The sequence below is a fragment of the Homo sapiens genome, chromosome 14 (genome assembly GCF_000001405.40).
Source record: "Homo sapiens chromosome 14, GRCh38.p14 Primary Assembly".
Lineage (NCBI taxonomy): Eukaryota > Metazoa > Chordata > Mammalia > Primates > Hominidae > Homo > Homo sapiens.
Genome location: NC_000014.9, coordinates 106,556,345 through 106,569,679, shown reverse-complemented (window position 1 = coordinate 106,569,679; position 13,335 = coordinate 106,556,345). Strand labels below are relative to the sequence as shown.

The window sequence follows — 13,335 nt, the reverse complement described above, 5'->3', positions numbered from 1 at the left end:
ATGTTTATAGCAGCAGAATTCAAAATTGAAAATATGTGAAACCAATTTAAATGCCCATTGGCCAATGAGTTCAGAAAGAAAATGTGACATCGCCTGTAATCCCAGCATTTCGGGAGGCCGAAGAGGGCGGATCACGAGCTCAGGAGATCGACACCATCCTGGCCAACATGGTGAAATCCCGTCTCTACTAAAAATACAAAAAATTTGCCGGACCTGTTGGCGTGCACCTGGAGTCCCAGCTACTCGGGAGGCTGAGGCAGGAGAATTGCTTGAACCCGGGAGGCAGAGGCTGCAGTGAACCGAGATTGCAGCACTGCACTCCAGCCTGGGTGACAGAGCAAGACTCTGCCTCAAAAAAAAAAAAAAAAAAGAAAAGAAAAGAAAAGAAAAAGAAAATTTGACATATATACATCATGGAATACTACCAAGCCGTTAAAGGGAATGGCATAATGTCCTTTGCAGCAACTTGGATGAAGCTGGAGGTAATGAGTATAAGTGAAGTTACACAGGAGTAGAAAAGCAAAAACTGTGTTTGCACACTTACAAGTGGGAGATGGGCTATGAACTGGCAAAGGCATACAGAGTGATATAAGGGACTTTGGAGACTCAGAAGGGAAAGAATAGGATGGATACTAGAGAGAAAATAACTACACTTTAGGTAGAGTGTACACTATTCAGGTGATGAATGTACTAAAATCTCAGAATTTATTGCTATATAATTCCTCCATCTAACAAAAAAATATTTACCCCCAAAGCTATTGAAATTAAACAAAAATCAACCTACAAAAATAAGCATCTTCTGTATACACTAAAAAATGATTATTCAAAATTAAAATCAAGAAAATAAATCTAAATACAACAGCTTAAAATTCATAAAATAAATTTTACCAAAATAAATTTAACAAGGATACAAAATATCTGCACATTGAAAATTATAATATATTGATTAAAATGTAAGAAAACACAAATAAATGGAAGGCTATCTTGTGTTCTTGTGTTACTGGAACATACATTGTTAATATGTCCATCCTAACCTAAGCATTTACAGATTCAATGCAATCCCATTCAAAATTTCAAAGATATGCATTTACATAAATTGAAAAAAAAAACCTCTCTCATTTGAATGGCTGGGGTGATTGACCCGGACTATCAATTTGAAATCAGACTACTACTCCACAATGGAGGTGAGACAGAGTATGTCTGGAATACAGGAGATTTCTTAGGACATCTCTTAGTATTACTTTGCCATGGGATTAAGATCAATGGGAAAAAACAACCTAATTCAGGCAGGAATACAAATGGCCCAGATACTTCAGAAATAAAAGTTTGGGTCTTCACCCAGATTAAAAATCCTGACCAGCCAAGGTACTTGCTGAAGGCAAAACAAATACAGAATGGGTAGTGGAAGAAGGTAGTTGTCAATACCAGGAATGACCACACGACCAGAAGTGGGGACCGTAATTGTCGTGAGTATCTCCTTAAGCTGATAAGCAACTTCAGCAAAGTCTCAGGATATTTTCTCCATATCTTGTTAGGAATATATTTCTGCATGTGTATAACTGTACTAAGAAAATATCTTCATTGTGCCGGACACGGTGGCTCACACCTGTAATCCCAGCAATTTAGGAAGCCAAGGTGGGTGGATTACCTGAGGTCTAGAGGTCGAGACCAGCTTGACCAGTATGGTGAAACCCCGTCTCTACCAAAAATACAAAAATTAGCCTGGCATGGTGGCAGGTGCCTGTAATCCCAGGCTTCTCAGAAGGCTGAGACAGGAGAATAGCTTGAACCCTGAACCCGCGAGGCAGAGGTGGCAGTGAGCCAAGATTGCACCACTGCACTCCAGCCTGGGCAACAGACTGAGACTCCATCTAAAAAACAAACAAACAAACAAAAATATATTAATTGTTTTCATTGAATTTGTTTTCTTTTTATCATGTGTCACAAGATTTATTGACTTCCTAACAGCATTTAAATGTTGTTAACTATATGTAGTGGTATGTATGTAGGTTAAGGATTAGTGCACTTTCAGTTGTATGAAGGATAGCTGTATTATGTTAGGCATAATTATGACCTTATTATTGTCTTTATTTGGAGATCAAGCATGATTGCAGCTAGATGTGTAGGGGTGCTAAGTTGACAAGAGGTGGGCTTTTGATGCTTGATACTAGGTGTCAACTTGATTGGATTAAAGGATGCCTACATGGCTGGGAAAGTATTGTTTCTTGGTGTGTCTCTGGGGGTTTTGCCAGAGGAGGCTGACATTTGAGTCAATGGACTGGAAATTTGAGTTTGTCATGTTGCATGATCCTTTTAAAGTCTTATAGAACTTAGTTGACTATTATTTTGGTGTAGTTCATTTGTATAAATATTTCTTTGAAGTTTAATTTTCTTCCTTTGTGTTTGTCTGTCACTGGCAACACGGTAATTGTAGCCTTTTAGAAATAGCTTAGAAGGTTGGCGACTCATCATTTTTTAAAAAAGTTAGAGAACAGTTGGCATGACTTTTTTAAATTCTGAGAGCCATTTTTTATCTAACATATAGGCTATCATGAAGAATATTTATAGTGTGCTTGAGAAGCATGCGTATTACACTGCGCTTGGTTGGAATGTTCTGTAGATGTCTATTAGGTCAGTTTGTTCAATAGTGTTGTTTAAGTCCATGGGCTTCCTAAGAATTTTTTTATGGATGTTCTATACATTATTGAGGGTGAGGTGTTGAAGTCTCCTCCTTTCTTATTGTTTTCTATTTCTCACTTCATATCTCTTAAACTCTTGTTAATGCGGTTATATTTCTATTTTTATAACTATGTAAAATAGAAATAAAATAATAATTGCTTAGTAATTTTAATGGGAAAATCACATAATAAGAAATTATATTTTCCCAAATGCTGCCATCACCACTAAACTCCTCCAGGAGTCTCACATCTGCTCTGGGCTCTGCTCTCTCCTAAGGGGTCCCACATCAGAGTTTGCTACAGAGGAGGAGACAAGAAAATAGGGCCCTCCCTCTCCTGATGAAAACCAGCCCTGCCCTGACCCTGCAACTCTGGGAGAAGATCTCTAGTCCAGAATTACCAGGAGTTTGGATTTGATGATCAGCTCTGTACAAACATGGCTCACCATAGAGTTAGGGCTGAGCTGGGTTTCCCTTGTCATTATTTTAAAAGGCGAATAATGGAGAACTTGAGATATGGAGTGTGAGTGGATATGAGTGAAAAAACAGTGATTCTGTGTGGCAGGTTCTGACTCAGATGTCTCTGTGCTTGTAGGTGTCTAGTGTGGGGTGCAGATGGTGGAGTCTTGGGGAGAGTTGGCACAAGCTGAATGTGCCTGAGACTCTGCCGTGCATCCTCTGAATCCACCTTCTGTAGCTACTAGATCAGCTGAATCTGCCAGGCTCCAGGAAAGGGGCTGCAGTGAGTAGTAGATATAATGTACGATGGAAGTCAGACATAATATGCAGACTCTGTGAAGGTCAGATTCACCATCTCCAAAGACAATGCCAAGCACAGGTTGTATCTGCAAATGAACAGTCTGAGAGCTGAGAATATGGCTCTGTATTATTGAGTCAAAGGTACCAAATGAAGGGACATCAGTGTGAACCCAGACACAAAATTTCCTGCAGGGAGGAGGGAGGAGGCTGGGCTGCAGTGGGCACTCAGCACACACAAAAGGCAGGGACAGTTCCAGGGGCAGGTACAGGTGCAGGTGAAGGCAAAGGTCTACTTTCCTTCCAGATCTGTGGATTCCTCTGCATCCAACAGTTCGCCTGGGCCTCTGTCTTTATGGATCTGCGCCTACCACTGATGTCTCTGGGTTAGTAAAGTTTGCTACTATAGGAGGAAACATTGTCATTTGTCAGAAAGGCGAATAATGGAGAACAAAAGATATTGAGTGTGAGTGGATATGAGTGAAAAAACAGTGATTATGTGTGGCAGGTTCTGACCAAAATGTCTCTGTGTTTGTAAGTGTCTAGTGTGAGGTGCAGGTGGTGGAGTGTAGGGGAGAGGCAAGAGGCAGAAAAGCGCGCAGGAGGCCGGGTGAGGCTGTAGACATTGTCAGCTCACTATGCCAATCTCACAACAGTGCTGGAGAAGGTGGGAGTCTGATGGAGCTTCCCAACAACCCTGTGGTCTAAGCTAAGTCCATCAAGGCCGCTGGTTCCTCCTGGAACACAGCTGTCCATCAGGAATCCCCCATGTGCCCAGCAGCAGCCACGCGTTAGCATCTTCACTGTGCACAGTCATTGTTTGGGAGGAGCTCCAGGATGGGTCTCTTTGTCAAAAACCGGGTGATGGTGTCAGAGAGCTGTGCCGGGTGCCTGGTCCAGGGGCTCCCTGACGTTGGAGGTATAGGAGGTGCGTTCTCAGGGTGGGAACACCTTTTATGGAAATGTACAGAAGAAAACATGATTTTCCTTGGTCCTCTCAGATGACATGGAGAAGCAAGCGCGCAGCTTGCAAACAATTGTAATGTCCTTGTAATTTCCTACTTTATCCCAAGTTCATTGATTCTTGTAAACCTTGGTTTCTGTCCAAGTACAGAGATATTGATTAGAGTGAGTTTGGTTCTTTCCACACACTAACCCTCACCTCCCCCAGATAAAGAGCACATTGTCCTTACTCTGAGTCTGAGGGAGGAGCTGTTCCTGTACAACTAAGGGCCTGCAGAGACCCCCGTGTACAGCTTTGCAGAGTCAGATCTTTCCACATGTGAGGCGACCTCCACGGCCCATGATTGCTGCTCAGGTCTAATTGTGGATTCAGGATTAGGACATCCTTTAGGCTATCACAGGTCAATCAGATTCTGAAAAATCACTGTTATCATAGACAGAGGTAATAATTCAATACCCACTCCCCTGACAGCAGATTCTCTTTCTTATTTGGTTGAAAGTTTGAAGAAAATAAGTGACCATTTATTATTCTTATTCTAACTTTAGTATCCACTATTTGTTCTAGGGGATTCACAAATTTCAAAACACTGAGCTCTTCATTCTCATGAAAATGTGCATATTTGTGAATTTCAACGTGTTGTTCAGAACCTGTGCATGCCGACATCTGTATTTCTCGTGCGTTCTTGGCCTGGCGAAGCCCTCACAGACCCTCTCCCTCATCTGTGCTGTCTCTGCTTCTCCATCACAACCAGTGCTTCCTGCTGGAGCTGGATCCCTCAGCTCCCCAGGGAAGGGACTGGAGTGAATCAGGTGCACAGGTCATGAGGGAGAACACAACGCAACCCACGCCTCAAGAGTCCAGTCACCATCTCCAGATCCACATCCAAAACACAGTTTCTTCTACAGCTGAGCTACCTGAGCAACGAGTACACAACCATGAATTTTTACACAAAAGATACAGCAAGGGGAAGTCATTGTGAGCCCAGAAACAAACCTCCCTGCAGGGAAGCTCAGGAACTGCGGGAGGCCCTCGGGACACCAGGGGGCGCTCAGGACACACATCAAGGCAGGTGCAAGAGGAAAAGGTGCTGGAGATGGGGTTTGGCATCATCATCATATTTCACTGACACCCGCCACTGTGTTTATTCTCATGTACGTGATTCTTTGTATTATTAGAAAATGGCGTTTATGTAAATAAATAACCATATGTAGGTGCATCAAGTCGTCCTCTCCCTTTTTTTTTTTTTTTTTTTTTTTTGAGTCCTGCTCTGTCACCCAGGCTGGAGTGCAGTGGCGCGATCTCGGCTCACTCCAACCTCCGCCTCCCGAGTTCAAGCGATTCTCCTGACTCAGCCTCCCGAGTAGCTGGAATTACAGGTGTGCACCACCGCGCCTGGCTAAGTTTTGTATTTTTAGTAGAGACCGGATTTCGCCATATTGGCCAGGCTGGCCTCAAACTCATGATCTCAGTTGATCCGCCCGCCTTGGCCTCCCACAGTGCTGGGATTACAGGTGTGAGCCACCGCGCCCGGCCCGTCCTCTCCATCTTATGTGGAACTTTTCCATTAAGACTCTGAGTCCCTGGATTTATTTGAGAACCTCATAAATCATGGTCAATTATGTCTCTTTCTCCTCTTTCTCCCTTCTTCACTCCTCTCTAGCTCACAAACTGAAACACACACAGAATTTTCTAACTTCAATTACCTGATGTGTTGAAGACAATTGATTAAAGCGCAGCTTTTCCAGTTCAGCCACTGTTCATATTGTTGTAAGAATAAGAACGTTGTGTTTCTCAGCTGCGTGCTTCTCTAAGATGAGTAGCAGCTTTTTTTTAATAATACCCAGAGGCTGAAAGCAATCTGAATACCAATCATCAGCTTAATCAGTAAACACAAGGTGGTAAATTCGCTCACTGGAAAAACACCGACTGTTACAATCAGGTAAGGCTGGATACTCTCAACAGCAAGTGTAAATTCACAAGTATATATGCTTATTAAAATAAGACAAACAAATACAAGTACATACATACTGTTCCACTTTTACAAATTCTATAAAATGAATGCTAATCTAAAGTTACATAAAGAAAACCAGTAGTTGACTCTGGACCTGGTGTGAGGAGGGAAGGGTTAGGAACCAGAAATTGTAGGAAATGAAGAAGAAATGCTGACGGTAGTGGAGTTTTTTCTATGTTGATGAAGGTAATAGTTATGTCACTATTAATCAAATCGTACACATTGTGGGATGCCTATTATTTGTGAATTTCACCCTATTAAAATATTACAAGTTAAAACAAGTATAATTTTGTAGAAAATTAGTTAGACATAGATGAATAAAATGTATGATAAATAAAAAAAGAAAATCACAGAACAATAGCATAAGGACTTCACTCATCAAACTGAAGAAATTTTAAATTTCTCAACACAGAATTAAAGATTTAATTAGATATACATAAGAAATCAAAGACTCCCGGATATACACACGAATAAACCCTAAGTCCACCTGTATTTTTAGGGAAACGCTAGAATACAAGAAAATAATGTCATGATTTCATTACATAATGGGGGTTAATGAAACCACATCAGGCATGTCCAGCTGTGTCCTGGGGTTGGTTCAGGGAACGGGTGTGTCCTGTGGTTAGGAGACGTGGCAACAAGCTCACAGCATCAGTTCTAGCTGACACCATAAAAAGGCCAAGAGATCACAATTAAAATGTCATGTGGATGTCACATCTGTGGGTGCCACACACTCCCCCATGTGAATACGGAAAGGTTAATTACACTCTTCAGGTGTCTGCTGAGAGTACAGCTGGTCTCTCAGGAATGTCCAAAATGGCTCGATAGAGCAAGAAAGGAGACTGGCTCAGGGTTCCTGTAGTGGCTTGGTGGTGTGGGCAGAGTGAGGGTTCTCACTCAAGAAAGGAGTTTGTGGCGTTTGAACATCTACATGGCTTCAAATAGGGTAACTCCTGTGATTCCTAACTAGATTCACCTCGTGTGGGAAAGAAAGGAGATGATGAAGGAATGAGCCTTAAGCTATCAGCAGTCAGATATCAAAACAATAGTCTGATGACTTATTCTATGTAGCACCTATAAAAATCGTTCTGGTCACGGTGGCCTAAGTCTGTCATCCCAGCATTTGGGGAGGCTGAGGCAGGTGGATCATGAGGTCAGGAGTTCAAGACCAGCCTGGCCAATATGGTGAAACCCCGTCTCTACTAAAAATATTTAAAAAAAAAATAGTTGGGTTGTGGTGGTGGGCGCCTGTAATCCCAGCTACTCAGGAGGCTGAGGCAGGAGAATAGCTTAATCCCAGGGGGCGTAGGTTGTAGTGAGCTGAGATCACACCACTGCACTGCAGCCTGGGTGACAGAGCAAGACTCCATCTCAAAAAAAAAAAAAAGAGTAAAAAAATATCAGCCCAAGATGGGTGGACAACAACCAGGCCTACAAAAAAGGAGAAGACTGCTTATAAGAATAAGCAAATCATAATGAAAATTAGGAGGAAAACAAGGAGAGTGAGGTGAAAGGCATGGGGCAGGGGATTAGACAAGGGTCCTGTTCCAATGTCTTGTGTGGAGACTTTTCACTATCTAAAATCATCCACCTATTCTGAATGTCTTAGGTGAACTGTCTGCTCCAAAACATCAGAACCACCAGAGGATTTTTGAGGATACTCAGTTTAATATCTTATATTTGAGGTGCCTTACAACTGTGTAAAATGCTTAGTTATTATCAGTATAATTAGAGATAGGGCCTCACTGTGTCACACAGGTTGGAGTGCAGTGGCACAATCATAGCTCACTGTTACCCTGAACTTCTGGCTCACATAATCCTTCTGTCTCAGCCTCCTGAGTAGCATGGACTAGAGAGGTGCACCACCACACACAGCTGATTTAAAAAAAATTGTTTCATAGAAATGGGGTCTCTCTATGTTGCCCAGGCTGGTCTTGAACTCCTGGTCTCACGTGATTCCCCTGGTTTTGTTTCTAAAAATGGTGGAATTAAAGGCATGAGCCACCATGTCTGCTCAGAAATGATTATTTGGTTGCAAAATATTAACCCAAGAATTGACTCCCTGAATTTTCTCTGCAGCGTTTTGGTTAATAATGTCTGATAAGATTTATTTCAATAGTTTCAACAGCAGAGTGTTCTCCTGATGTTTCTTCCAATAGTGATAATTTCATGGTTGAAGATCACAAAATACTATTAAAAGATGACATAAAAAGGCAACCTTAAACTTTTGGTGATGGAGTGAGTATAATACAAAAATTACGTTCAATATTGTGTAACACACGCCTGCAGTAGGAGGAAGGTGAGCAATGAGGGTAAAATTTCTAAATGTATGAATCTTCCAGCTCCCAAGTCACAGGGCAGTAACTGATGAGTCCTGAGAGAGGGAACGTAATGCCGTAGTGCTTGTGGGATAACTCTTGGCCAAGAGAGTTTCCATATTTTATTAAAGTGGTTATAATTTTTAAATTTAAAGATGCCATTTTTTCAACATATCCAGAATATTGTGAGTGGGATTGATTCTGTATGATACGAACAATGGCAATGCCTTCTGTTTGGATAATATTACAAACCAGGTTAAGACTGAGTGTTTGGTGTAATGATGCACCAGAACATTATTCTAGCTTCCATACTAGATTTTGTTTTTCTCTTTGTTTGCATTAGTTTCAAATTTATATGTAAGGTCTCTAGAATGTAGGAGTTTATTTGAAAGTGTCTTTTCTTGTTGGCCATTTTGATGGGGCTTCCAGGAGATTTAAAAACCTCCTCTGCCTGCAGCACAGTTTAAAATTCTGCACTACAGTAGAACATCTGTATTTAATCCTGGTCTTTGGTTAATTGACAAGCTCTAGTAAGTGCAATAACTTCTGCCTTCTGGGCTGATTTTATATCAGGTAGAGGAATATATCCTAAATGAAAATTTGCACTAGTAATATATATTATTAATTAATAACCACTACTTTTATTATTTAAGTGTTATTAATCAAGAACTAATGTTAAATCAAGGGTCTCAATGGGAATATTACCTAAGGGATACACAAGATATTTTGCTAATCTAGATAAAATAGATGTGAACACTCTCGTAGTATCCAGCCATGTCTCCTGTCTGTCACTTTGTTAACCACACAGTAAATTCACTTGGCACTTGTTCTAATTATCTAATTAGTCACTTACTTATCTCAAAGCCTCCGGATTATTATGTGTGACTATTTCAGCAGAGAGTGAAGAAAGACAACCCAGGCTGACCAAACAATGAGGAAAATCACAACCTGATGAAACAGGAAGCCTGGATGTGAGTGGCTCCAGGATTGAATAATTTGACAGCTCATGTGCCCAGGCTGTTTCTTGTCTCAATTTTCCACACTGATACATCCAGAAAGGCAGCTTCACCCCCCAGGGGACTCCTATCATGCTGTGACATGGTGACAACATTCCCAAGGCTCACACACATATGTTAAATATTGGCTGGAAAAGGGGCAGAGACATTTCTGGAATTCTCTTCTGAAGGACCATGAATGCCTCAACCAACCATCTCCCCTGCCTCCATGACCAGAAATGCACCACGTGCCCACACGGATATTCATCCCTGATGGGGATAAGACTCCATTGATGAGGCTGACTATTTTATCATATAAAATTACTAAAGACTGATTTCAGGGTTTCAAAAACTAATTGAACTCTGTTGTTCTATGTCCACCAGAGATTACAAATCTTCCAATGATGCCTTCTTTGTTTTTTGTCTGCTTGACTTTGTCTCTTCAACTTGTTCTGTACCCCAGAGAATCTCTTTCAGCTCCCTCAGGTGCATTCAATTGTTTTATTTAACTGACAATTTCTAAATCGGTTAAAGACATTAGGCTAAAGACTCCATATTCCTAGGTCCATATTCCTTTTTCCATATTCCTAGGAAGGCATTGTGACCCAGAGTCTGGGCATGACCTTGTGAGTGTTCCTGACCCTCCTCCATATGAGATGCTGGTCTGGGTGTTCTTGCCCCTTTCCCTGGGGTAGAGTCCTCCTGTTTTCCCCAGGTGCTCCCTCCCACAGCTCTAGTGTTCTCAGTCAGTGTCATCACCTTCCAGATCTTCTGCCCTGCCCTGCAGACTAAGGCTCTGATTCCATAAGCAAGATAGGGGAGCTGCTCCTCAATAGATCTTTGGTGAGGATCTCTGTTCCCATCTCAATTCCTGTAGGGTTGAACCAGTGTTCCTAGGATTCTGGTTTCAGTAGCTTGTCCCTGCAGAGTAAATTCTTAGTTCTGTAGGGGGATTAAGGGAGTTGGGTCTGAATACATTTTAGATGTCGAGGATCTTGTTCTCTCCCAGAAAGACACTTCGGGAAAGTAAGACTTTAGTAACTGTCCCCTTTCTTGGGGAAAGGGATTCAAGAGGATAGGTTGCTTTTGGGCATGTGGTCCCTTAAAATTTCACACTAAAAAGCGTTTCCCACACTCAATTTCAAGCAGCCCAATATATATTTGTATTTTTTCTTGGAACAGACAATATTTTATATTCCAGACTCTGCCTTAGGTAATTTCAAACCCTGGCTTTGTTACTCTCTACAAGAAATTGCTTCTCCATAAGCTTCAGATTTGTTGTGTGTTTTGAAATTTTATCAGAAATATTAAAGAAAATTGGCAAAATTCCATCCTCCATGTTTATCTGTTATTGTTGATGCAGTTGTAAAAAATAAGAAAAATACATTCCTTTTTTCTGTACATTTCCAAGCTTAGTAGCAAATTTTTAGTAACACCCAGAATAATAAAAAATTCAAATATTGTTTAGCTGCTTAATAGGAAAACAAATTATAGTAAATTTGTTTGCTAGAATGCTACCCAGCATTTATAATAAGTAAACATTTGATATACCCAACTACAAGGTAAAATATCCATTTATGCTAACTAAAATAAGCCAAACAAATGAGAATGTATACTATGTTATTTCATTTTTATAAATTCTGAAAAATTAAAATGAATTTGCAGCAATGTAAAGATCAGTAGTTGCCAGGGAAATGGTAGAAGAAAGAAAGGAAAAGGAGAAAGAATACAGAAGAACAAAAGGAAATGTTAAGAATTCTCTTGTCCAACTTGATAAGGATGACGGTTACATCATTTTTATCAACTGTAATCTTTAAATATGTGAAAGTTTATTATCTGTAAACTAAACTTATAAACTTTATTACAAGCAAAAATTGAAAGTTAGACAAGAAGGAGTGATAGAAAGAGAAAATGTATATTAAATTTCAGAAATATTTAAGAATGTATCTGCCTGAACCCTAGTTCTCACCATATCTTTAGGTGAATGCTAAAATGCAGCAAAATCACGCATGTTCTCACTACAGAAAGTGGGTTCTACAAACCACACTCGGCACATTTAGCTTTGTCCTGGAGTTGGTTCAGGGAGTTATTGGGGCCAGTGATGAGGAGCACAGGCCAAGATACCAGCGATCACTTATCCCAAACATGAGCTCTAACATACACACTTAGTCCCTTTTCCGTGTGTGGTTTACTTCCACATCTGTACATGGAGAGACCACTGACTGACAAAATATAATTTATACAAATATGTAAAATTAAATAGGGTGATCAGTTCAAGGTGTTTATCACAGCATAATTTTACAATAAGACAGCATATTTCCCAAATACCATCATTGTCACCAAACTCCTTCAAGGCACAGTCATCTTATCTGGGCCCCGTCCTCTCCTCAGGTGTCCCACCCCAGAGCTTGGTATATAGTAGGAGACATGCAAATAAGGCCCTCCCTCTGCTGATGAAAATGAGCCCAGCCCTGACCCTGCAGCTCTGGGAGAGGAGCCCCAGCCGTGAGATTCCCAGGAGTTTCCACTTGGTGATCAGCACTGAACACAGACCACCAACCATGGAGTTTGGGCTTAGCTGGGTTTTCCTTGTTGCTATTTTAAAAGGTAATTCATGGTGTACTAGAGATACTGAGTGTGAGGGGACATGAGTGGTAGAAACAGTGGATATGTGTGGCAGTTTCTGACCTTGGTGTTTCTGTGTTTGCAGGTGTCCAATGTGAGGTGCAGCTGGTGGAGTCTGGGGGAGGCTTGGTACAGCCAGGGCGGTCCCTGAGACTCTCCTGTACAGCTTCTGGATTCACCTTTGGTGATTATGCTATGAGCTGGGTCCGCCAGGCTCCAGGGAAGGGGCTGGAGTGGGTAGGTTTCATTAGAAGCAAAGCTTATGGTGGGACAACAGAATACGCCGCGTCTGTGAAAGGCAGATTCACCATCTCAAGAGATGATTCCAAAAGCATCGCCTATCTGCAAATGAACAGCCTGAAAACCGAGGACACAGCCGTGTATTACTGTACTAGAGACACAGTGAGGGGAGGTCAGTGTGAGCCCAGACACAAACCTCCCTGCAGGGGCGCACAGAGCCACCAGGGGGCGCTAGGGACCGACTGAGTACGGGACAGGTCCCAGGAGCAGGTGCAGGGGGAGGTTTCCTTTTTCCTTGGCTGGAAAAGTCACCTTTATCTTCCCAGGACTCGAGCCTTCTAGGCTGTGATATTTTATTACTTGTATTTACTGTTCATTTATTATCATTAGTTTTTAAATTTTGGTAATTTTTACAACTCTATGGATATATTTTTAAGTGTATACTTTCAAGAAATAAACATTCCTAATTATTTGCACTGATTCTCCCAGAGTTTTATTAACATTTGTTGACATCAGCAACTACATAGCTATAGGGACAAACACTTTTAACGATAGACAGTTGTTTAGGCCTGAAACCCCGTTTATACTAAAAATTTACAAAAATTAGCCTGGCGTGGTGAGGGGCGCCTGTAATCCCAGCTACTCGGGAGGCTGAGCAAGGAGAATTGCTTGAATCCGGGAAGCGGAAGTCACAGTGAGTGGAGTGGACTGCCACTACACTCCAGCCTGGCGACAGAGCGAGACTTTGT

At 41.4% G+C, this 13,335-nt stretch overlaps 2 pseudogenes, 1 gene segment (V, D, J or C) and 1 further gene; all 4 read left to right on the top strand.

The window, feature by feature from the left end:
- The window catches only part of IGH (immunoglobulin heavy locus), a 1,293,408-nt gene that overhangs the window by 310,165 nt on the left and 969,908 nt on the right, over nucleotides 1-13,335 (top strand).
- IGHV3-50 (immunoglobulin heavy variable 3-50 (pseudogene)) lies at nucleotides 3,125-3,580 on the top strand (annotated as a pseudogene). The gene is given in 2 exon segments: nucleotides 3,125-3,170; nucleotides 3,273-3,580. Coding segments are annotated over 2 exon segments (354 nt in total).
- On the top strand, nucleotides 5,082-5,352 carry IGHVII-49-1 (immunoglobulin heavy variable (II)-49-1 (pseudogene); annotated as a pseudogene). The gene is given in 1 exon segment: nucleotides 5,082-5,352. A coding segment is annotated over 1 exon segment (271 nt).
- On the top strand, nucleotides 12,283-12,744 carry IGHV3-49 (immunoglobulin heavy variable 3-49). The segment is given in 2 exon segments: nucleotides 12,283-12,328; nucleotides 12,432-12,744. Coding segments are annotated over 2 exon segments (359 nt in total), but the record flags the coding sequence as incomplete, so codon positions are not given.